The 26,118-nt window shown below is 36.4% G+C and overlaps 1 protein-coding gene and 2 long non-coding RNA genes across 9 annotated transcripts; 1 reads left to right on the top strand and 2 right to left on the bottom strand.

Moving 5' to 3' along the window:
• Positions 1-26,063, top strand: INTS12 (integrator complex subunit 12). Of its 7 annotated transcripts, none has more exons than XM_011532145.3 (9): positions 1-52; positions 4,881-5,042; positions 5,667-5,804; positions 8,676-8,840; positions 13,022-13,174; positions 15,204-15,391; positions 16,555-16,714; positions 21,852-21,998; positions 25,373-26,063. In XM_011532145.3, the coding sequence occupies exons 4-9, from the start codon at positions 8,685-8,687 to the stop codon at positions 25,955-25,957; spliced, it is 1,389 nt and encodes a 462-aa protein (XP_011530447.1). In that variant the 5' UTR covers positions 1-52; positions 4,881-5,042; positions 5,667-5,804; positions 8,676-8,684; the 3' UTR covers positions 25,958-26,063. The 7 variants fall into 7 exon arrangements, 6 of the variants coding, with proteins under 6 accessions (XP_011530447.1, XP_047271947.1, NP_065128.2 ...); XM_047415991.1 differs by having other exon boundaries at positions 1-771; XR_007057947.1 differs by lacking the exons at positions 5,667-5,804; positions 25,373-26,063 and adding an exon at positions 19,410-19,559 and having other exon boundaries at positions 21,852-21,935.
• On the bottom strand, positions 594-2,308 carry LOC124900747 (uncharacterized). Its single transcript, XR_007058214.1, has 2 exons — positions 2,267-2,308; positions 594-789 (listed from the first exon to the last, which is right to left on the bottom strand). It is a non-coding gene; the product is annotated as an uncharacterized LOC124900747 (long non-coding RNA).
• LOC124900748 (uncharacterized) lies at positions 2,716-8,743 on the bottom strand. The gene is made up of 3 exons (XR_007058215.1): positions 8,419-8,743; positions 3,300-3,376; positions 2,716-2,811 (listed from the first exon to the last, which is right to left on the bottom strand). It is a non-coding gene; the product is annotated as an uncharacterized LOC124900748 (long non-coding RNA).
• Positions 26,064-26,118: the final 55 nt, after the last annotated feature.

Genomic DNA, 26,118 nt, shown 5'->3' with positions numbered 1-26,118 from the left:
GTTTCCGAAGGGACCACCGGGAACAGACGGATCGGCAGGGCGGGGCGGAACGGTGAGTTATGCTGAGCGACTCTGCTCCTGGCCTCCTGGAGGCTCGAGACCCCCGCGCCAGGAGCGAGGTGGGAGAGTAGCTACGTGGGGTATTAGTTTCCTCGCTCCTCAAGGGGAATCATAATTTACGGGCGGTTGCGTGCCCTAGACTGACTGCTCTCCCCTTTCAGTGAGGACTGTGCTTCCTCCGAGGGAGTTGCGGGCCGGGACATGCGGACCGAGCATATTTCTAGGTCTAGGGACAAGGGACTTGGAATCCTGCCTCGGACTTTGTCGGAGGGTTTTAGTGACTTCTCTACGTAGCTCCCTCATTGTCTCTCATCTTTTGGCTCCCCTGTCAAGGACCATCCCCCATTCTAGGACTTCGATGTGTGATGCTTTGATCAAAGGATTGACATTCCTTTTCTAAGTGTTTGCTGTCAGCTTTCAGCCACTTGATTGGTTTGGAATCGGAGCCTTTTCTCCTGCGATTCCAGGTGTCCCTAAGGTATCAGTGTTATCCAGAACCAAGAACTCAGTGGAGGAATGAAAAAGGCAGCATCTTTAAAATAATGTTTATTGGAAGGGGTTGCAAGAGCTTGCGAAGTCATGAAGAACAAAGTTTTTTAGAGCCATTATGAAATGGCAACGATAATACTGCACTCTATGTGAACAGTTTCTGTTTCCTTCATCTGGGGCACGTGCATATGATCAACTTTGGACTTCTTTTGAGATTGCCAGGTAGGGTGAAAAATGGATCTAGGAGAAAGCACATACTTATATTTATATATGAATGCCCAATTTAGACTGGAGAGATCACAGAAGCCTTATAAGGTGACATTTACGCAAAAAACCTAGTTCGTTCATTCGATAAATATTTTTGAGCCCTTATTAAGTTTCAAGCACTAGGGAAATAACAGTGAACAAAACAAGTTCCTGCTGTCATCAAGTTTACAGACCAGTGGGATTAATGAATTAAGCAAGACAGGCGAAAGATTGTGAGAATTTTACAGATAGGAACATTGTACTACAAGTCCCCAGTCGTGAAAGAGGTGATTGCTTTGCTTTTGCTTTTTTGATGTTTGGAGTTTTTTTTGTGGGGGCAGGGGTGAGTTACTTTTGTGATTTTTGCTGAAGGGACCTTGGAAATGGCTACAATTGTGTAGAAGGAGAGATAAGACCACTATACTTTGATCACTTAATTCCAGTAATTCTATAGCCATTATTTTGTTGTACTTTGCAAAGTGGCAAAGAGATAGGCAAAAAGATAAATATAGACTCTGCCCTTAAAGTACTCAGAGTTTTGTAGGGGACATAACACTTGTGCCAAAAAAAAAAAAAAATGCTTCAAGGGAGAAAGTTGCAATACCATGAAAAAGCACTATGAGATATCCTTGAATGGAGAGACTATTAATAGGGTTTGGAATGGAGAGGGGCACAGCAGCTGTCAGTCAAATCTTCATGAGAAGTATTTGAATAGGGTCTTGATAGGATGTAGATATATAAAAATAGGTAAAGAGCTTCCTGGACAAAAAAAATAAGAGTGGCAGGGTCAGCTAGCTATAAGGCAGATCTGGGGATGATGAATGATAATTTTTGTGCCAGTTACTGAATCTTCTTAAATGCTAGGCCAAGAAATTTGGTCTTTATTTCGAAGGTGGTAGAAAGCCCTAACTTCTCAGCAAGAATTTTTTTTTTTATTTTAATGAAAAAGAAGAAAACTGGGTTTCAGGAAAATTCATATGGCAACAATGTTGAAGTCAAGGAAAATAACGAGGTTATTGCCATAGTTCAAGTAAGCTAATAAAACCTGAATTTCAGTAGTAGCAGTGGAAGTGAAAAGTAGGACAAGTGTGAAAAATATTGCCGTCAGAATCCACAGGAATTCTGATTATTTGAATATAAGGAGTAGGGAAAGACTCAGTGAAGGAAAGACTTTGGTCTCAAACCTGACTAAAAGAAAGTTGTGTCATTTATTGAAAGTAAGAGCAGGACAAGGAACTTTTCGGGAAGATAATCAGAATCTCAATTTTAGTTGTAACTGAATTTGAGATGCCATTAAGGAATCACATAGACACATACACTAAGCATTTGGAAACATGGGATTCAAATTTAAGAGATTTGGCTCGCACTTGTAATCCCAGCACTTTGGGAAGCCACAACAGGAGGATTGTTTGAGACCAGATAAGAGCAACATAGCAAGACCCTGGCTCTACTTAAAAAACAACAAAATTACCTGGGCATGGTTACGGTGGTGCATGCCTGTAGTCCTAGCTGCTTGGGAGGCTGAGGCAGGAGGATCACTTGAGCCCAGGAGTTCGAGGCTGCAGTGAGCCATGATCTCAGTGCACTCCAACCTGGGTGACAGAGCAAGACCATGTCTCAAAAAAAAAAAAAAAAAAAAAGAGATTGAAGTTGGGGTAAAACATATTAAATCATCTACCCAGAGATGATAGTTGAAAACCTGATGTGTATAAGATTACCAAGAAGAAACTGCTAGCAGAACTAAGAAGATAGCCAAGGACAAATACTTGGACAATACCAAAAGCAACAAAGAAGATAAGCCAAAGAAAGAGTAGTCAGAGATAGAAGAGGAAAAACAGAAAAGTTGAGTATAACAGAACTCAAGGGAAGAGAAAGTTTTATGAAATTGGAAGTAGATAACAAGTATTTACTTGGCCAACATTTACAGTTATTTGCTGTTTTCCAGGAACTCTGCCAGACAGGGGTTACAACAGTAGGCAAGACCAATCCACTGCCTGCCTTCATGGAACTTACATTCTAATGAGAAAGAAAGATTATTTACATAATTAACAGTGTGATTAATATTACAAATAAGTACAGAATGTTTTTGGGCTATGTAACAGTGAAACTTCTAGTTTTGTTGAGGGAATGTGCAGGAAAAACTGAAACTTGAGAGGTGACTTAAGATGGAGGTGGGGGTGGCACACTTTCTACTGAAGTGCTAAGGTAAGAAAGAGTATATTGGAGGACTTGAAATAAGTCAGATAGCTATAACAGAGAGAGTGAGAATGGCCTAAGATACTAGGTAACATTTAATGAGTGTCAACTATGTGTCAGGTACTGTTGTAACTGCTTTATATGTATTATTAATCATGTAGAGCAATGGTCCACAACCTTTTTGGCACCAGGGACCAGTTTCATTGAAGACATGGTTTCAGGATGATTCAAGTGCATTACATTTATTGTGCACTTTATTTCTCTTATTACTACATGGTAATATATAATAAAATAATTGGACAACTCACCATAATGTAGAATCAGTGGGAACCTTGAGCTTGCTTTCCTGCAGCTAGACGGTTTCATCTGGGGATGATGGGGTATACTGTGACAGATCATCAGGCATTAGATTCTCATGAGGAGCACACAACGTAGATCACACACATGCACAGTTCACATAGGATTCGCATTCCTATGAGAATCTAATTCCACCAGTGATGTGACAGGAGGCAGAGCTCAGGTAGTAATGCAAGTGATGGGAGTGGCTGTAAATACAAATGAAGCTTCCCTCGCTTGCCTACTGCTCACCTCCTGCTGCATGGCCTGAAGGTTAGGGACCCCTGATGTAGAGAATTGGAGACCTTGTTAAGAATCTTATTCTTGAACCTTTGGATTGTGAGAAGTGATAAAAGGATTTTAAGCAAGTGAGTGATATGAAAAGGTTTAAAGGGATGACAAGAGTGATTGTGGGAGACTGATTAAGCTTTTGCAGTGGGCCAGATAATAGATGATGCTAGGTTGGTCTAGGGTGGTAGTAGTAAGGATTGAAAAGGGTGGATAGATTTGAGGTATGTTTAAGAGGTTTGGTTATTGAATTGGGGGTGGGAATTAAGGAAGTGGGAAGAGTTAAAGCTGCTTCTGGGTTACTGGCTTGGGCAATAGGGTAAATATCATTTGAAAAAGGGATTACTAGAGGAAGAACTGGTTAGGAGAAAAGGGAATAGTGTATGAGTGGCTCTGTTGGAGACACGTTGCATAGGAGGCACCAATGATATATCCATGTCAAGCTGGCAGTTGGATCTTGGGAGAGACACATGGACTGCAGAGATGTATTAGTAATCACTGGCAAAAGACTATATAGATCAAATTGTCTAGGGCAATAATTCCCAAACTTTAGAGTAGATAGAATTGCCTGGAAGGCTTAACACAGATTTCTAGACCCTACTCCCAGAGTTTTTTCTTCAGTAGGCCTAGGAATGGAGACCAAGAGTTTGTATTTCTAAGTTCTGACGTGATACCTATGCTGCTGACTCAGAGAACACATTTTTGGAAGAAGATGTAGAACAAGTCAAGAAGAGACCCAGAACCTAGCACTGAGGAACTCATTTTTAATTGGATAGGAGGAACCTACAAAGATGACTGACAAAGAAGTAGGAGGGACAATCGTATGTATTAGGTTTACCTGACTGAGGCGGCGAATGACTCATGAGAGCATTTTCATGGAATAGTGGGACAAAGGCTGAATTGCAAGAATTGCTGTGTAAATAGAAGGAATGAAGAAAAAGAGTACAAAAGCATATGATTTCTGAGAACGTTTTGCTATAAAAGAGAAAAGATAGAAGATGTTTGAATATATTTAATGTCAATGAAAAGATGCCAGTAGAAAGGCTGAAAAAAAAAAAAAGAAGATATGGGAAATAATCCATAGGCCAAGGTTCAAGAGGGGACAAGAAGAGATAGGATCCAGATCCAGGTGACACTACATAGAGAGCTACCTTCTCCTTTTTTATCAGATGGGAAAGAGGAAAGGATGAGTGCAGGTAAGTTTGTAGATGTGCTGGAAGGAAGTCGACTTAATTCCTCTCTGACAGCCTCTCTTTGTGAAGTAGGTGAGGCCATCTACTGAAACACAGAAGCAATTTTAAAAGAAAATGGAGGAAGTATAACTGATCTTTGCAGAAAGTGGGGAAGTGAGTTGACCAGAGAAGGATGAGAGAATTGCCAAGTTGTACTGAACGCCAAGCTGAGAATGGTGATTCTGAAGATAGAATGTATGTATATTCCTCCCAGTTGCACTTAGAGTTTGGGTGCAGGCAGAGAGAGAATGGCTAGCAGGGTGGATGTCTATAAAGTAGGGAAACTACAGGGCTTTCGGGTGCCTAGAGTACTGAAAGAGGTATTGAAAGGGTGGACCACAGAATGTGAGCTGGATAGGAAGTAAACGGCATACTGCAATAAATCAAGGATAATAAGAGATACAGAAAAAAGATCATTGTTCAGTAATGGCGATTTTTGTGCTATATGCATTTGACACAGCTAATTCCCAGCATCACCTAAGAATTCACTCCTATCAATACTACTACTACCACTTCCCTAGGTCAGCGAAAGCTTTAAAGTGGTAAATATTAATTTTCTCACATTCTCCTTTTTGAAAGCAACATCTACTTTTTAAATGAAACCTACATTTAATATATTAAATATCTTTCATATATACATTTTTCTTTCATACACACACACAGGACTTTGTTTTCTAGAACTCTAATCCATAGTAAGAATGATATGGCTCTTTTGCAGTCTGTTTTGGCCATGGGTTTAGGAATGAATATACAGGAAAGGAATTGTATAGAAGTAACATGATTTGGTGTAACTCCAGGAAAATATTTTTGTATGTGTAGATCAACACAGTTACACCAAGTTGCTGACCTCTTTATGACTGCTGTAGAAAGTAAACTTCTTTCACTATATGGATATTTGCCGGTAAGGAAGGAAAAGTAACAGAGATTAGAGAAGGCAACAGAAAAGGGGGAGTAAAGGTAAGATAGAAAACTAAAATATAAAATATAAACCACATAACCATAAGTGTTTTATTTTAGGTTCAACTACTGTTTTCTGTTTGGTGAGGAAACAAAAGTCAGGGCAAGAGGGTGCCAATAAGGAGAAAGCAGAAGGGACAAGAAATTGGAGGCTTCTGTAACAAAGAACAAGTAGAATGGGAATAGAGAAATGAATAAATACAGAAGAAAGATTGACTTGGCACTTTGAAGAGGTCCCTGGATTAAGGCAGTGGAAGAGATAGAGTAATGGAAGATTGTAGTCAGAAAGGAGAATTGATTGTAATAAAAGAGGACAATAGTTGTGGCAAGTTTCAGATTTCACTGGCTGAAGATAAAGCTCCTTGAGGTTAAAGATCAATTATATAACACACTATTATCACTCTGTATATGAATAGATTTTTAAAAAATAAATAGAAATAGAAATAAATTGGCTGGGCGCGGTGGCTCACGCCTGTAATCCCAGCACTTTGGGAGGCCGAGGCGGGTGGATCACAAGGTCAGGAGATCGAGACCATCCTGGCTAACATGATGAAACCCCGTCTGTACTAAAAAATACAAAAAATTAGCCGGGTGTGGTGGCGGGCGCCTGTAGTCCCAGCTACTCGGGAGGCTGAGGCAGGAGAATGGCATGAACCCGTGAGGCGGAGCTTGCCATGAGCCGAGATCATGCCACTGCACTCCAGCCTGGGCGACAGAGCGAGACTCTGTCTCAAAAAAAAAAAAAAAAAAAAAAAGAAATAGAAATAAATTAAAAAGTTAATATTTTTTTCTCTGTATTCCACCATGGGGACCACTGGGTCAAAGGGCCATGTTAGTAATTTAGGGGAGGGGTACAAAGCCTGTTAAGTTTTATAATGGCAAGATTGCATAAAAAGAACTGACTCCAAGGTTCCAACTGGAATGTTGGTGTTGATGACTTCCGCAGTCTTGTAATCTAGGTGCTGACTCTTGTCACCTAATCTGTAATGTAAACCTCTTACCTGTGATTGTAGAAATACATAGCAATAAATACTTGGCTTTCATTTTTCAGCATAGAAATTTCAAGAAATGGTTTTTCTAATATATTACAAGGGTTCTTTTAGGTGTCAACCCTTTGGTCAGCACCCAATAAAATAAATTGTTTTATAACAATCTGGATAAGTAAACTGCTATTTCCTTTACCTATATGAAATAAAATCAGTAGAAAGATTAGTAAACTGTCACAGGAGTGGAATTTAAAGAAAAAAAAGAGATTAGGCTGTTACCCTTGTATATGCTGGGGGAATGGCAGGTTTACCCTTTTAATCTTGGAAATTTTATTAAGGAGCTATTTTTTCCTCAGAACGTACATGGTGACCAGCCCCATGAGTAAATTTTAAAATAATTTTTCTGTACCTATCATTATGTAGAGGTGATGTATATAATAATATAATTTTAAGAAGTGACAGAGGCTGCTTTTCAATTTTGTTAAATTCTTAGAAATACAACAGTTTGAGATAAGGTTACTTTTTCATTATAGTACTGGCCTTTGGATTCCTTTCCATGGGTGATTCAGATGATATTTTAGTACAGTACAGAATTCGACAGTAATTTTGTAGTTATCAGGTAGATAACTAATACCTTCCTGGGAACTTAAAAAAAAAAAAAAAAAAGCCTAGGGATGTGTATGTGTGTTTCTTGTCAGATGTGGAGAAGGATGAGGAGTGAAGCTGGAGGGGAGGGGACAACAAAATCCATTTTCAGATGTGCTTTCATATGCTAGGATTCAACCTACAGCAAGTTTTAATGGTGTTATAAACCCCTGAAAATGGGAGATAACTGTGGAATTGCTGACAGTTCCCTAACTATAGCAATGCAAGTGTGCTGCATTAATACAATATTAACCTCAAGGATAGAAGATTTCAAGCCATAGTATATTGATCAAAGGATTGAACACAAAGAATACATTTTTATTTTGATAATTTCTTGCCTGGAGAGGTCTTTGAAAAAGTGACAACCAGAAGCAGAACCACATGATAGCATTGGTATTAACTAAAAACAAAACTTTTTAGTATTGTGGAATTTCATAAGCCTTTGATGTATATCTTTATCCATCTTGGCTATTTTTTAAGCTCTTTAGGACACAAAGCATCATAGGCTCTGTGTGTGTGTGTGTGTGTGTGTGTGTGTGTGTGTGTGTTTTAAGTAGATATGATATTATCCCTCAGAGACCTTACTTTTAAAAATAGGTTAATGCATGAGATACCACAATCTAAATGTGATCAAATAAGGTTATCATTAATATGTTTTCTGAGACATTTAGGGTTGGGGCAGAGAACTGAAGAGGTGAGTTTAGAAAAAAAAAAAAAAAGAGTTGAGGTAAAAGTGGCAGCAGTGACCATGATAGCTAATCACTTAATATACCTTTTCACCATTGCCCTCTTACGATAGCCCTTACACACACAAACACCTGCACACTAAGTCTTCCCTTGTGTTATGGAAATAAGGTTTGAGAGAAGAAATTTTGATACAGAGTAAACTTGACGTAAACCCATCAAGTTCTATGTACTGAAACTGCGAAGTGTATCTTTTAAAACACAGTTAGGAAGGAGTTCTGTGGCAGGGAGAGGCCTACCTGGATTTAAAACGTTACCATCGATATGGATACACAGAAAACTGATACTGCTAGTTGTTTCAGGGGGAAGGAACTAGATAATGCCTGTCAGGAATAAGAAGGAAATTTACTTTTATTTGTAATAACTTTTTGGTGATTTTAAATTTTATATCATGTGTACAGTATTATCTATTACAAATTAAAAAACAGAAAAGTAAAACTTTAACATAGATAATTGTGCATTGTCTTCTAGATTACTTTCTCTTTTTTTCCTTCAGGCGTTTGCAATGGCTGCTACTGTGAACTTGGAACTTGATCCCATTTTTTTGAAAGCACTAGGTTTCTTGCATTCAAAGAGTAAAGATTCTGCTGAAAAGCTAAAAGCACTGCTTGATGAATCTTTGGCTCGGGGCATTGATTCCAGTTACCGTCCATCTCAAAAGGTACTTGAATGAATAAAAAGCTTGGAGAGAGTTTTGTAAGGCCTGTAGTACTACATTGATAACATATAGACCATCTCAAAACAATCTCTGCCGAAATAATCTTTCCTTGTAGCATGAAGAAATTATATTCTTTATTTTCTTTTTTCCCTTCAAGTTTTCAGAGAACTGTTACACCACATAGAAAAATCAGCTGGGGGTGCAGGATATTCTGTTCTACTACTTTATGTGTATATGAATTCACTTGTTTACGACTTACTTTAATTTCCGATTCTTTGTGATCAGAATTTTTTTTAAGCTGCTGAATGTAACCACAACTTACTTCTAATTATTGCCTAATATTTTAAGGATTAAAAAAAATCAAGTAAAAGGACAGATCTTTCAACAAAATAAATTGAATATGGGTAGGATAATTTAAGAGAAAAGGAGGTATGGATGAACTCTGAGAACTGTGTAGCTCCTGTCTTGATAATAACAAAGCAGCCAATGGCAGCTTTATGTGAAAAGAATATATGTTTTGATACCAAACACACCTGTTTTAAATCCCACTTAAATCTTATAATTGTGTGATGATAATAGACAACGTATCTTGATGTCCCAGGCACTTTTCTGAGTAGTTTATGTGAATAATTAATTTTAATTATGATAATGATCCTTTAAGATAGATAACTGTTTTCTTCATTTTACATAAGGAAACTGAGGTACATAGAAACTTCATTTCACTTAGTCTGTTTATTGGTAAAATGGGGATAATAAGAACTACTTTGCAGAGTTGTAAAAATTGAAGGAGATCCAGTAAATGAGTTACCTAGTGTAGTACCTGCCTGGTACATAATAGGCTGTCACTGAATGACAACTCTTATTATATTCCCTAATACCTACTAAGACATTCTATCAAATCCTTCTAAGCTCTGACCCTCAAACTCCAAATCACTCAGGTCTGTGGACTTAGATCCCAAACTGAGAAGGAGAAAATAGAACATGACTAGCTCAAGTCTAACCAGAATCTGAAGCTCAAGAGAGGATCTAGTCCCAGGCTCAGAGCCCAAGTAAACACTGGCATTTTGTCCCCAGCCTTCTTTCAATACTAGGTCTAGTACTCCGAAGCCTTTTTATTGTATTTTGAATAGCAGAACCATTGTGACTTCATTTCTTCTATCCATTCTCATTGCAGTAGGTTCAGTGAGTTCAGATCGACCAAATCAATATGGCTCTACAAAACATACTACCAAATTCATTCCACTGTGGGTGTTGGTATTGTCCAGATAGGGAAACCTATTATTACTAAAGAAAAAAAATTGTTTTAATGGGGTTCTAAAATGGAAGTTTATCTCTTAAAGAACATGAAAAATTTGTTGTGATTAAAAAGCACGCTGCCCTTAGGTTTCTAGCTAGAGTTCATTTCTCTTGATCAGTTTTCAGAAACTACTTTGTTATAGGTTTTTAAAGCCCAGGTCCATTTAATTTTAGCCTTCAGCTGAATATTTTCATCACTAGATTTGTGTAAGAAGAGTGATTTATGCCAGTGTTTCTCAAACTTTAGCATGGATAAGAATCACCTGGAGGTAATGCTTACTAACATTACCAGGTCTCCAAGTGTATTCTAACATGAATATTGGTTGATATTCATTTACATTAATGAGGAAGGCAAATGTGAAATAATGGAGTTAAAACTTAACTCATCCGTCAACAACTAGAACAACTTTTTTGCTGAATTAGGTAATAGTTTAATACTGCATGACTTTGTCTTCAATTTTTTAGTTACACACAATACACGTTTTTGTTTTTCTGTTGTTTTTTGTTGAGACAGGGTCTCACTGTGTTACCCAGGCTGGAGTGCAGTGGCACAATCTTGGCTCACTGCGCTCTCTCCCTCCCAGGTTCAAGCAATCCTCCCACTTCAGCCTCTTGAGTAGCTAAGACTACAGGTGCATGCCACCATGCTTGGCTAATTTTTTTATATTTTGTGGAGACAGCATTTTGCCATGTTGCCCAGGTTGGTCTCAAACTCCTGGACTCAAGTGATCTGCCCACCTTGGCTTCCCAAAGTGCTGGGATTACAGGCATGTGTCACCACACCTGCCCACCACACATTTTTAAGTTTAATCTGCATTATTAACATTTTCTTCAACACTTTACTAAGTCTACACCAGTGATCAACAGACTTTATAAAGAGCCAAATAGTAAGAATTCTAGATTTTGTGTGCCAGATGGTCTCCATTGCAACTATTTAATTCTGCCATGGTAATGTGAACGCAGCCATACATTATAAAATGAATGGGTGTGGCTGTGTTCTAATATAACTGTTTATAAAAAACTATTTATAGGCCTCAGTTTGCTAACCCGTTGTCTAAACAATCAGCATAATAATATATCAAGCCCTGCCACCACTAGATCTGAGGACCCATTCCTCCTTCCTTTTTCTTCTCTTCCCCCCTCAGAGGTAACCACTATTCTGAAATTGTTGTGTATTATTCCCATTTATACTTTTGTACTTTTACATATTATCACAGTAAAATAGACTGCACTCAGCTGCCTTAGTTTTGTTTAGAATGATGGGAAAGTGCCCTCCTTTTGGGGGAGGGGGAATTCCAAGAGCTGCCAAAGTTTATGCATACTATTAATGACAACAAATAACAAGTTATCTATATCAGCAAAGCTATAATACATGAATAAGGAATTGAATTTAAACAGAATGAAAAGACAAGCCACAGACTGAGAGAAAATATTTGCAAATCATATATCTGATAAAGGCCTTGTGCCCAAAATCTATGAAGAACTCTTTTAACTTAGTAATAAAACAAACAGATTCATTTCTTTTAAATGGGCAAAATATTTTATCAAATAGTTTACCAAAGAAGATATATGTATGCCATATGAACACTTGAAAAGCTGCTCAACATCATTAGTTACTGGGGAAATTTAAATTAAATCTAAATGAGATATCACTACATACCTATTAGAACATCTACAATTTAAAAAGAGTAGCCATACAAAGCATTGGTGAGGATGGGAAGGAACTGGAACTCTCTCATATATGCTTGGTGGAAATATAAAATGGTACTGCCACAGTTTGGCAGTTTCTCAAGTAATTAAGCATATATTAATACTTACCATATAACCCACTCCTATTTTTTCTAGAGAAATAAAAACATAGATATATATATAAATACTTGTACATGAATATTCATAACAGCTTTATTTGTAATAGTCCCAAACTGCAGACAACCCAAATATCCATCAATAGGTAAATTGATAAATAAATTGTAGTCTATTCATTCAATGGAATATTATTCAGCAATAAAAAGGAATTAACTATTGATACACTAAACAACATGGATGAATCTCAAAATAAATATGCTGAGTAGAAGAAGCCAGACCAAAAAAGAATATGATTCCATTTATATAAATTTCTAGGAAATGCAAACTAATGTATTGTTACAGAAAACAGATAAGTGATGATGATGATGGGAGACATATTTTTCTATATGCCTGATGATGGGAGACATATTTTTCTTGCTTGATGATGGGAGACATATTTTTCTATAGGGTGTATACCTGTAAGAGAGTAATTACAAAGGGCCACAAGGAAATTTGGAGAGATGATGGATATGTTCATTATGTTGATTGTAGTGATGGTGTCACAGACGTATACATATGTCAAAACTTATCAAATGTTACACTTTAAGTAGGTGTAGTTTGGGCCAGGTGTGGTGGTACACGTCTTTAATCCCAGCACTTTGGGAGGCCGAGGTGGGCGGATCATTTGAGGCCGGAGTTTGAGACCAGTGTGGCCAACATGGTGAAACGCCATCTGTACTGAAACTACAAAAATCAGCCGGGTGTGGTGGTGCACCTGTAGTCCCAGATACACGGGAGGCTGAGGCAGGAGAATCACTTGAACCCAGGAGGCAGAGGTTGCAGTGAGCCAAGACTGTGCCACAGCACTCCACTCCAGCCTGGGCAACAGAGTGAGACTCTGTCCCAAAAAATAAAAATAAAAAAGGTACAGTTTGTATATCAATTATTTCTCAATAAAGCTATTTAACTATTTAAGAAAGGAATATTACATTGGTTATAATGAAATGTCTTAATTTTTAACTGAAAATTGTTTATATTAATGATCTTTTTTTATGATGATCAGTCTAAATATTTAATTACTGGTACCTTTTTTCATCTTTTAGGATGTGGAGCCACCCAAAATTTCAAGCACAAAAAACATTTCCATTAAGCAAGAGCCCAAAATATCATCCAGTCTTCCTTCTGGTAATAATAATGGCAAGGTCCTCACAACTGAAAAGGTAAAGAAGGAAGCTGAAAAGAGACCTGCTGATAAAGTAAGATTTTATTTTAATCTTGTTAAAAGAAAGTAAATTAGTTGTTCCATAAGCAGAAAGAAACAATGTTTTATGCCTATTTCTTTTATATAATAATGGGTATAGGTATATAATAATCAACACTCAGTGAATATATATTGATAGCTATAGATTTTGACTTTTCAAAAAATGAGTAAAATTTACAAATTTTAAAGTTAAGTGGTTAAAAGTTATTGTCAATAAATATTTGAGTCCTAGGGAGTATAGTAACTTTGAGTGTAAACTTTAATCTATGCCTCAGAGATCCTAGATGGAACAGTTGTTAAGAAGAAAAGATAGATACACTTTGGGAGGCCGAGGCAGGTAGACTGCTTGAGCTCAGGAGTTCAAGATCAGCCTGGGCAACATGATGAAACCCCATCTCTACAAAAAATACAAAAATCATCTGGGTGTGGTGGCATGCACCTGTAGTCCCAGCTGTTTGTGGGCGGGTGGGGGGTGGGAGGATTGCTTGAGCCCAGGAGGCAGAGATTGCAGTGAGCGGTGATCGTGCCACTGCACTCCAGCCTGGGTGACAGAGTGAGGCGCTGTCTCAAAAAAAAAGGAAAGCAAGAAAGAAAAGATGGGAAAGAGTATAGATGTAAATGACTAAACATAAACTTTATAGAGTGGTATGCACCTGAACAGTGCCAAAGATGATTCTTGGATTGTCTATTTTTAGATGATTTCTACATATAGTAATTAAGATTTTAGTAGTTAGAAAAAAATACATTTGAAAGATATCTTCAGTAACCCTTGCCCTCAAGATGGAGTATATTATCCCGTATGTTTTCATACTTTTGCTAAATAGTGGCTATTCATAAACTACATTAGATTATTTCTCTGTTTTTAGATCTACATAAGTGAAGCTGGGTGTGGTGGCTCATGCCTGTAATCCCAGCACTTTGGGAGGTCAAGGCAGGAGGATCACTTGAGGTCAGCAGGTCGGGAGTTGGCCACCCTGGCCAACATGGCAAAACCCCCTCTCTACTAAAAATACAAAAATTAGCCAGGTGTGGTGGCGCACACCTGTAGTTCCAGCACCTCAGGAGGCTGAGACGTGAGAATCACTCTAACCCAGCAGGCGGAGGTTACAGTGAGCAGAGATTGTGCCACTGCACTCCAGCCTGGGCAACACTGCAAGACTCTGTCTTAAAAAAAAAATTATGTAAATGTTATCATACTGTGTGTGTGTATATCCTTTGGTAACTTTTTCTCCACTCAACTATGTGCTTTTGAAATGTATCTTTGTTAATGCATGTAGATCTAGATTTCTTTTAGCTACTACATAATACCAGTTTATCATTCCCCTACTGATTTATCATAGGGGAATGATTAACCAGTTTATCATTCCCCTACTGATGCACAATTAGATATTTCTCCTTTGTTTCTATTACAATGGAGTTTGAGTGAGCTACTTTATACATATGTCATGTTAATAGTTTCTATAGGATGTATACCTATAAGTGAATATAATAGGATATGACATCTTCAACATTACTAGGCATTGCCAAATTTCTATCAAAAGTAGATGTACTAAATTTACACTGTCATCAACAAAGTATAAGAATTCCAAATTCCATGTCTTATCAGACTTTTTGATTTTTGCCAAATCTAATGGGTATATTGATAATATTTATATCTTAAAGAAGGGAATCCGAATTTGCTTTGAAGCAAATATGTGTTAAGTCTGTATGGTAGATACTAGTCTAAGTAAATCCATCGATCTTCCATAATTCTTTAGTAGATAGAAGAGTACAAAGAGAAATACAAATATTTGTTAAACTGTTCTGATTTATTTATTTCTATCTTGCTGGTTTCATTTAATATACTAATAAATTCATTGCAATTCTTCTACAGATCTTTAATGTGCACATCTGTCCCTAACTATGTGAATATATCTGTAAAATGGACTTGTTCATTGCCAATTGTCCTTCTCACTCGTCTTTCAGTGACTTAAAGTTTATTCTACCACATTACTTTATCATTTTCTGATGCCTGCTTTTTATAGATGAAATCAGACATCACTGAAGGAGTTGATATTCCAAAGAAACCTAGATTGGAGAAACCAGAAACACAGTCATCTCCCATTACTGTCCAAAGTAGCAAGGATTTACCTATGGCTGACCTTTCCAGTTTTGAGGAGACCAGTGCTGATGATTTTGCCATGGAGATGGGATTGGCCTGCGTTGTTTGTAGGTAAGTTGTACCTTGCCACAGATTCTTTTGTTACTTTATAAAGAACACATGACCCTTTCCACTCCTCAACCCCCAAAATCAGAAAAATTGTTGTGCATTTTCTATTTTGTTTTTACTATTTGGAACTGGGGTGGAGATAAGTAGGTAACTGCCCATATAACAATTTAGCATATTGAAAATTGTCAACTATTTTGTCTTTCCCAACTATGGCTTTTAAATCTGTTATGTTGTAACATTTTCTGCATTTTTGGGTTCCAGAGGGAAAGTGATTATTATATTATGATATATATGCCTTTGATAATCTAAGGCTATGGTGATTGCTTTTTGTGCTGTTGAAATTTATACTTTTTTATACACACATGGCTTCATTCTATTAATCTGATCAGACATTTATTGAGCACCCTATGTGTGCACAGTAATGTGCTAAGGACTGTGGATAATTAGGTCCAGTACTCACCTTTAGGTGACTCATATTAATGAAGAACAACAACAACATACAGCTAACTAATATAAGGGAATTTAATGGAGATACAAAATGTTATGAGGCTGTTGGAAGACTAATCAGAGTCTACTACCTTCTGAGAGAAAGGCAAAAATTATGACGAGAAATGACGAGAAAATAGCCAAATTTAATTAAGGCATTCTATATATTTATTAATGGTTGACCATAAGCTTTAAAAGCTTATGCTTTTGTGCATGCCAAGTGTTGGGGTTTGTTATTTGCTCTTTGGGTTTCTGGGATTTTTTTTCTTTTTAATATACCAAACTTTACCAGAACAACCTGGAAATAACTTTTTTTTTTTTTTTTTTTTTTTGAGACAGAGTCTTACTCTGTCACCAAGGCTGGAGTGCAGTGGCATGATCTTGGCTCACTGCAGCGTCCATCTCCTGGGTTCAAGCGATTCTCCTGCCTCAGCCTCCTGAGTAGTGGGGATTATAGGTGTGTACCACCATGCCCAGCTGATTTTTGTATTTTTAGTAGAGACAGGGTTTCACCGTGTCAGCCAGGCTGGTCTTGAACTCCTGACTTCAAATGATCCGCCTGCCTTGGCCTCCCAAAGTGCTGGGATTACAGGCATGAGCCAGCACACCTGGCCCCTGAAATAACTTTAAATTATGGCATTTAAAAAAGTAGTGTAATGTTTAATGGTATGTTTTCTTAGGCAAATGATGGTGGCATCTGGCAATCAATTAGTAGAATGTCAGGAGTGCCATAATCTCTACCACCGAGATTGTCATAAACCCCAGGTGACAGACAAGGAAGCGAATGACCCTCGCCTGGTGTGGTATTGTGCCCGATGTACCAGACAAATGAAAAGAATGGTAGGAATCATATTTTTCTTTATTTTAAACAGTCTGTCAATGTTTTTGTTGGTATGTGCTTTCAAAACAAAGATTTGAATATTTAAGATATTGAAAAAATAAATAATATAAGCTGATTATTTATTTATATGTATAGTATGTACATGTGATTAATATTTCTATTGCTAAAGACCAGACCATGTTATGTGCATTTTTCTCTTTTTAGTTTTATCTAATTCTAATATAGATAAAACAAGATTGGTGACACACAAATTATGAATATTCCTTACTAGTCTGTCAATGTATTGACAAACATTTTAAAATACCATGCAGCACTGAGAAGTGGTGAGATACAAAGCCCCACTCTTTGTTGAGATCTGGTAAGGAAATATAGAAAATTTCTGAGTGAGCTTAAACCACCGCATGGATAAGATGTGTACAGAGGCGATATTTATATGTGCATATCTGTCTTTCCAGCTGCATTTCTCTGTTGCTTAGTCTTTCCTTCTCATTGTCCTCAAGTGACCATTACCTCATTCTTCCTATGTACTTTCTCTTTTTACTGTTGACTAACATACCTGCCTTTAATATCATAGTGAAATATCTTTTCATTTGTTATATTGGATAGTTTTCTAACTTTTATTCACTTATAAAATAGATAAATGATAAATGAATTTCATAATTTTTCTTTTAAAGAAAACAAGAAATTGCCATAATGTCTTATTCTCCACCTCTCCCTCCCACTTCCATCTCTCTTCCCCTGCCTTAAATTAGTGATTCTCAATTGCAGAGTTCTCATGTCTGTTAATCAAATGAATTTCTATATAAATTTGTCTAACCAATATATCTTTTAAAGGTCAGAAGTACTTAGTTAAAAGTAAAAACTCGGGATACCCATTTTACTTTTTAATCAGTTAAATCAGAAATAGGAAGTGTTTTTATTTATTCCTATGAAATAAAAAGTAGTAAATGAAAAGTGTGTATATCAATAGTGTGTATATTTCTTACTTGTAACAGGAAATTTCTATGACAAGTTACAATCTGTTCTGCTCAGTTTGGTTTTTATTTAATTTATTATTTAAACTAGCCCTCCAGGATCTCAAGTGAAATTATTACAGATGAGCAATGCATTCCAGAGCATTGATAAGAAACCACTAAGAATTGGAAATTGTCAAAAGAAACAAATTGTGACAATAATCTATCTTTCTTTAGTATGTACTCAACTGTTTCATTATTATTATCACTTTAGCTCCTTTAATATCTAAAGTAAGCACTGTTCTTCCCCCAAGTTTTTTCTCCTCCATTTTTTCTGATTTATGTCAAATCTATGTTTATGGTTCTAACCCTCTTCCTGGGTGAGCTTCTATAGCTAACTAGATAGTCTATAGATACTTTAAGGTCAATATATTTAAAAGTGAAAGTTGTTCTATTATCCAGTTTTTTTTTTCTGCAATTGCCTGAATTAGAAAACATCTTTGATGCCTCTTTTAATTCCATATCCCATTGTTTACCAGATTTGCTAATTCTACCTCTTATATGTCTCTGAAATCTATTCATTTCTCTTTTATTACCCTGTTCCACAAATCCATTACTTGTCTATTGCAATAGCCACTTAATAAATCTCCTTGCCTCCTATCAATCCACTTTGCTTACTATCATTAGAATTCTTCTAAAATATTTACCTACTTATATATGCCCAGTGGCTCTCAATTACTTATATAATGAGATTATACTCATTAGGATGCATATATGGACCTTCTCTTTTTGACCCGACTCTACCTTACAGCCCTCTCTCTCACTGCTTCAGCATACACATTCATACACTCTGGCCACTCTGACACAGACTAAGTGTGTCATTCCCTGAATATGTGGAGAACTTTCATGTTCCCATATTTTCTGCTTCTCAGCTTCTTCTCTTCATCTGGGATACTGTTTATTCTTTTATCTGCTTTGCAAATAATATCTAATTTATCAGTAAGAGCATGTATTCATTGGCATAGCACTTAAGCAGAGCTCAAGACTGGACACATTCTACATTCTGTTGTTCTTAAGTTAAATAAAATGAAGCAAATGTAATTTTTTTCTTTTTCTGAGACAGGGTCTCACTCTGTTTTCTAGGCTGGAGTGCAGTAGCATGACCATGGCTCACTGCAGCCTTGACCTCCCAGGCTCAAGCAATCCTCCCACCTCAGCCTCCCAAGTAGCTGGGACTACAGGCATGTGCCACCAGGCCTAGCTAATTTTTTTTTTATTTTTTGTAGAGATGGAGTCTTGCTACATTGCCAGGGCTGGTCTCGAACTCCTGACCTCAAGTGATCCTCCTGCCTCGGCCTCCCAAAGTGCTGGGATTATAGGCATGAGCCACCATGCCAGGCTAAATGCAGATTAGTACCAGAAATCAACAGTGAATCTGGTCTGTGTGTCCAGAAGTCAAAGTACTAAATGGGGAGTCATGGCTAATATTATAACATGACTAGAATACACCAAGAGCAAATGTGGGGAAATACCAAAAGACATGATCTGAAGTGAGCCTAAAGATCAGAATCCAGGAAATGTAAGGTTTAATGAGATAATTTTGGAACAGTGGGGATTCTAAATACAGTCATTCTAACTATAATTGCTTTGAGTGAGATTCTCATATGTGCATTGGTTATTGTTCCAAGGTATCTCAAAGATATTATAAATAGGACCTGATATCCCCTTTCTCCTCAAACAGATTCCTCAAACTGGGGCAAGTTCTGCGGTACACATCATTGTAGGAAGACCTAGTTAAGAATGTTGTGATCGTGTATGGCAGGGTCCAAGGTTATTCTTCAGTTCTATAGTTTTCTCTCTACGCAGTAGTGGAGTTTTTCCCCAGCTTCAGGTGAGAGACTCATATCACTTATTGCAGTGGTTCTCAATCTAAGGTAGTAACACACTCCTATTTTGCAGCATTTAGAAATAGGTGGGGTTTTTAGTACTGCCATTCTGGCAGTTAGTGCCTTAGTGGAGAATTTTATACATTTTGCAATGTTTGAAGCAGTCATCCAATGAAAATTTTAGTACCTTTGTTGAACAAAACTGAATCAGTAATTATATCCTAGTTCCCTAAACTAGTATTACCAGTAAAGGACAAAGGGTTGTGGGTATTTCTTACTCAGTTTCTAAGATGGCTGGATAAAACAGGGAAGGCAGAAGATTGAAACATGATCTCACAGGCAGAAGTACTTCCTGGGGCTTCATCATAATTAGTCTTTATCTGTTAAAACATACAAGTTAGGTGGGTCCTCAGAGTCTAACCTCAGGAGTGCTAGATGTGGGTGGAAGGCAGTGTTAAGATTGAAAGCCATGGTTTTGGAGCCATATGTTTCTGTTTTACTGTGAGGGATGCATTCTCGTAACATGGTTTTGCAATGAAGGATAAGATGGCTCTGCTTTCCTGCTAGTACCAGTAATCAAGTAATCAACAGTGAATTACTTCGAACATTCTTAATATTCTTGATCTAATTGTTGCTTTATAAGTGATGTTGAAGGTAGGTGTACTTTGATGTGGAAGGTATGTAGTATAAAAAGTGATACGAATTGAGATTTAAGGACCCAAACTATATAGTATGGCAAACAGTAGCCCAAGATTACACAAGAAGGCCCAAACAAGAGCAAAATAGGCCAAATTCTGGCTTCCAGAAATGGTGACAAATTGTTAATAAATTCCCTGGTATAGTACTGTATGGGCTTATGAAGATTATCAAAGACTATGGAATGGCTGGCGGGAAGCATCTTTCCCCGTTCAGTATGCATGGATTTTTCTGGATTCAGTTTGATTATCCTTTGTAAATAATAATGATGAATAAACAGTAACTTTTTGTTAGCACTCAACATTTTCCAGACACTATGCTAAACTCTTACATAATCATAATTCATCCTCATAACCCACCTTTGAAACAAATGCTATTACCATTTTACAGATGAAGAGAATGAGGCTTTTAGAGATTCACATATTTTGCCTGAGGTAATGTATCTAGAAAAATAGTTGCTGTTTTTTTTTCTGTTGTTGTTTTTTTGAGATGGAGTTTTGCTCTTGTTGCCCAGGCTGGAGGGCAGTGGTGCGATCTCGGCTCACTGCAACCTCCACCTAATGGGTTCAAGCAATTCTCCTGCCTCAACCTCCTGAGTAGCTGGAATTACAGGCACCCGCCACCATGCCCAGCTAATTTCTGTATTTTTAGTAGAGACGGGGTTTCACCATGTGGGCCAGGCTGTTCTGGCTGTTCGCAAACTCCTGACCTCAAGTGAACCACCCGCCTCAGCCTCCCAAAGTGCTGGGATTACAGGCGTGAGCCACTGCACCCAGCCAGTTGCTGGGTTTTAATCCTAACTGTGTTTGACTCTGAAAATTACTCTTAAACATGGCACATAACCATTTATAAACAGTTATAATTATCTACCTAGAAAACACTAAAAAATAAACTCAAAAATGATTAGAGTTTATAGGAAAATTTAGTCAAGTACCTAGTTATAAAATAAAGGAAAAAATCAGTTATTGGTCAAAATAAAACTGAAGATGCTTATAAAATAATAGTGGGTGAAAATTCTTTCATAACATAGAAATTTGTATTTATTAACTTTCTCTAAAGATTTAGTGTGCCTAGTTTTGCAATGTGGAAAAACCTCAAAAAGTTTAATCATTTATCAATAGTTTTTTTCTCCCTGTTCTATATTTAAAACCATATAAATGATCTGAGCTGTGTTTTAATTTGCCCTCAGCAACTGAGGAGTCGACTTATGCCTAGACCCCAAGAAGAAAACTCTTGTGTATTTGACAAACCCCAATGAGAAATAAATGTACTTCATCATGAGTAAAGCTAACGGTTACATATAGTTTGTGATTTTGCTCTTTAAAAAACAATTTTATCTTGTTAAAATGGTATTTAACTAACCCTCTTCTGTATTATTTCTAAAGCTTAATATTATCTTTACTGTTTAGAAACTAATACAATCTGTAAGACCATTAATATGATAATAATTTGTCAAAGAGCATATATATTCATTATCATCACACTATTTTTTAAAATGTTCAACTGTATTTCATTTCAGTGATGAGTCCTGTGAGGGATTATTATCTTTCTGTATATTCAGTTAAGATTTTGTATCTGATTTAATCCACTGATTTTTGCAGGCTCAAAAAACTCAGAAACCACCGCAGAAACCAGCCCCTGCAGTTGTTTCTGTAACTCCAGCTGTCAAAGATCCATTGGTTAAGAAACCAGAAACTAAACTGAAACAAGAGACAACTTTTCTAGCGTTTAAGAGAACAGAAGTCAAGGTATAGTAGATTCTATTTTTATCTAAGATTATATCTTAAAGTTTAGTTGACTAAAAAATAGTTGCTTGATAAAAAATTTAATGAGAAACTTTATATACTAAATGGCTATATTTTAGAAATTAAGACTTTACTACTATTATATTAGGTAGAAAGGGAACATTTATATCATTAATTAATCTCTAACTCTGTTGTTTTTCTTTTTATCACAAATACGAACAGTCTATGATCATTCCAAAATGACATTCTTTACCATTCTCATCTGGTTAGATATTTGTCTTCAATCAGAAATCTGGTTTAAATTCAGGCGAGGTGCCATGACTCACACCTATAGTCCCAGCACTTTGGGAGGCCAAGGCGGGTGGATTACCTGAGGTCAGGAGTTTGAGACCAGCCTGGCCAACATGATGAAACCCCATCTCTACTAAAAATACAAAAATTAGCCAGGGGTGGTGATGGGCACCTGTAATTCCCAGGCATAGTGGCGGTGCCTGTGATCAGCTACTTGGGAGGCTGAGGCAGGAGAATCGCTTGAACCCCAGAGGCGAAGTTTGCAGTGAGCTGAGATAGCACCATTGCACTCCAGCCTGGGTGACAAGAGCGAAACTGCAACTCAAAAAAAGAAAAAGAAATCTGGTTTAAATTCAAAATACCTCTGCCCTCAGTAGCAACAATTTTGCTCCCCACACTACTTGAGCAGATTGGCCTTGTAATTTTTTTTTCTCCCTTCTTATTGGCTGTTGAAGGAGTTTTCTTGCTTTGTCTTGTTTTGTTTCTTTATAATAAACTTTCAATGTTATCTACCTCTTATACCAAGGGACCACATTGTCTAGTGAGGGTATCACCTTTCTCATTCCTAAGTTTGCATCCTTGAAATCATACTACATTATTTCTTAATATCTTGGCCTTTTTATATCATGGAAAAAAATAATTTTCTAATCTAATTTCATAACAAAAAGAATACTTTTACTGAGGTACACATTCCAATATTAAGCATAGCACTAAATATGGAAGAAAAAATATTAAAAAAAAAATAGCCTCAAATTCTCAAAGATTGACCTGAGAAAACTCTAAAGTTATTGCCTTATCTAAGTGACTGTAAGTAGTAAGCTTCATACCCTTGATGTGATGAAAAAGAATATGAATACGAAATACTTTTAAAAACTTATTGATAATTATATTTGGAGATTATTTTTCATTTTAATTTGCCAGGGAAGATTTGCTATCCAAGGCATATCCATTATTGATTTGTCATATAGGAACTTGGTGAATTGGAATAGAAGTAAGAATAACCAGTTTATTGAAAGTAATTAGAGTTGCTATATTCTGCATATAATCACTTTTTAGTAGATTTTTAGATTAATCTGTTACTACTAAAGTTTATTTTTAGAAAATTCAACATGAAATCATTTTATGGCAAACAAATTAAAGACTGCTGTCATATTTGTTTTGATTAAGAGGTTTTGTGTTTCTTTAATAAAAAATTCACTTTTTATAAAAGTGAATAAATTTATACTATAAAAAAATTGTTCCCATTCACATATAAAAAGCAAATGTCTTTTCTAACTTGCCCATCTAGCAAATAGGCAAGAAAATATTTATAGTTAAAAACTTGAGAAATTTGTTTTCTACACTGAAATAGTAAGAAATCACTTGGTCTCCATTGTTTGTGTTATATTACTTCTATGTGTCCTGATAGTATTATAAACCATCTGTCATCCTGTTGAAAAGCAATACTAAGCAACAGCAAGCCATTAAAATGAAATGCCAGACACATAGAACATGCTTTCTTGCTTGTACTTCCTAAGTGTTGGTCTTTTAATTACTAAAGGTGGGTTTTCTTTTGTGAAGTTTTTTGAAAGATCATTTAACCATATGGCAGACAGTTTTATGTTTAATAGCAAGAAAAGGAAAAAAAATTAGGTCTTTCATAACTGAAAATTAAAGGTTTACTTCTTGACTAACTTTTTCTCTCATTGCTGGTATATATTCCTCTAGGAATAAATGGTTTATGTAGTTTTTCTTCTCTGGATAACTTCATAAGATAGTTAATATGTTACTGTAAGAAAACTTCCTATCAATTTTCAGAGTATGTGGACAAATATCTGGATTCCTTCTCTTATAAATCGAATATCTCAGAACTCTATTTTTGTTACTTTTCACATTGATTAAAAATGTATGCATGCAGACAATATTGAAGGCTACCTTGATTTCAAGAGCTAAAAATGTTTTATCAACTATTTCAGAGTAAAGTTCTAAATTATAACTGGATATATTTTAGGTATAATAACTACCATTTTTTAAGTAGGATGTTATTTTGTAAAATTTTATCTTTTACCTATATGTGAATGTAATGCTTTTGTGAATCTTCTTAAGAGTATAAAGGTAGAAAAGGTGTCAATAAGAAGTTCAATTCAAAATTAATTTGAATACGTACATTTGTGCCTAATATGAAAGTGAAAAAATATATTCTTGTGTGAACAAGAGCAATATGTATTTATATAGTGGCATTGGTACCATTGTGAGCTTCTGATTAGCCAGGAAAGTTAATCAGAGAAGTTGAAGTGTTATACCCTTATGAAATATATCAGAGAATGAGATCAGTCCTACCCAAAATGTCACTGTGCAGCCTAATGAGGCAATTGATAAAATCCTTATTAAAGGAGCAGGAGACTCTTACATGATAGTTTAACCGGAATCATGGGCAAATTGTGAAACTAAAATCATGAGAACTTTTTAACACATCATAAAAATTGTACACTTCCAAGTAATTAACTTTGCATATATTTTGTACTCCTGTAACTGTTGCTCAAAATTTAGGAGGACATTTTTTTTTAATGGGTTTAGAATCTATACAGCTGTCTTCTTTCTCTCACACAGTCACTCAGTAAATAAATATTGACTGAATCTCTTCATCTTGGATATGTTCTCCTGAATATTCTGGGTATGGGCATTTTTGCTATTAAGAGTGAATTAAATTTTTGAAATGATCCCTAGTTATTTGGAGAAAAGTCTAAAAGAATTAGATGTTTAACTAAGGTCGATAATACTTTGTTGGGTAAAAACTATGTTAAAGCACTAAATCTGGTTTTCAGATATAGCTTAGAATTGAATCTAAAAGCAATTCCCAAAAAGGAATTTCATATATTTTCTTTTGGAATCATTAGAACAAGAATATGGTATCAAAAATTTTCTGCTTTGCAAATGATAATACCCACTAGATACAGATAAGTTTTGTTCTGTGTGGTTTTTCAGATCAGCTTCATAAGAACCTAATTTGGTGGTGTGATTTAAATTTCCCAATTCATAACTTGGGATGTTTATACAGGTACTGATTAAACTTGGCTCTAATGTAATTATTTACTTTATTTTTTTAGACATCCACAGTTATTTCAGGAAATTCTTCTAGTGCCAGCGTTTCCTCGTCAGTAACTAGTGGCTTAACTGGATGGGCAGCTTTTGCAGCCAAAACTTCCTCTGCTGGTCCTTCAACAGCAAAATTGAGTTCAACAACACAAAACAATACTGGGAAACCTGCTACTTCGTCAGCTAACCAGAAACCTGTGGGTTTGACTGGTCTGGCAACATCATCCAAAGGTGGAATAGGTTCCAAAATAGGTTCCAATAACAGCACTACGCCCACTGTACCTTTAAAACCACCTCCACCTCTAACCTTGGGTAAAACTGGCCTTAGTCGCTCAGTTAGTTGTGACAATGTCAGCAAAGTAGGTCTTCCTAGTCCAAGTAGTTTAGTTCCAGGAAGCAGCAGCCAACTAAGTGGGAATGGAAATAGTGGAACATCAGGACCTAGTGGAAGTACTACCAGCAAAACTACTTCAGAATCCAGCAGCTCTCCCTCAGCATCCCTTAAAGGCCCAACTTCACAAGAATCACAGCTCAATGCTATGAAGCGATTACAGATGGTCAAGAAGAAAGCTGCCCAAAAGAAACTCAAGAAGTAATGTGGCCAAGTAGGTTTTTGTATCATATTAGCCTAAAGATGAAAGGCTTATTATTATGATATAATCTGTAATACACTGTAATTTAATAAAAGTCTTCATAATCAAATTTCTATTGTTTCTTACCTTAAAATGCTAAATATTATATAACAAAACTTGGAAAC

The sequence above is a fragment of the Homo sapiens genome, chromosome 4, assembly GCF_000001405.40.
Source record: "Homo sapiens chromosome 4, GRCh38.p14 Primary Assembly".
Taxonomy (NCBI): domain Eukaryota; kingdom Metazoa; phylum Chordata; class Mammalia; order Primates; family Hominidae; genus Homo; species Homo sapiens.
Note: the sequence above shows the minus strand (reverse complement) of the source record. Positions and strands in the feature narration are given on the sequence as shown.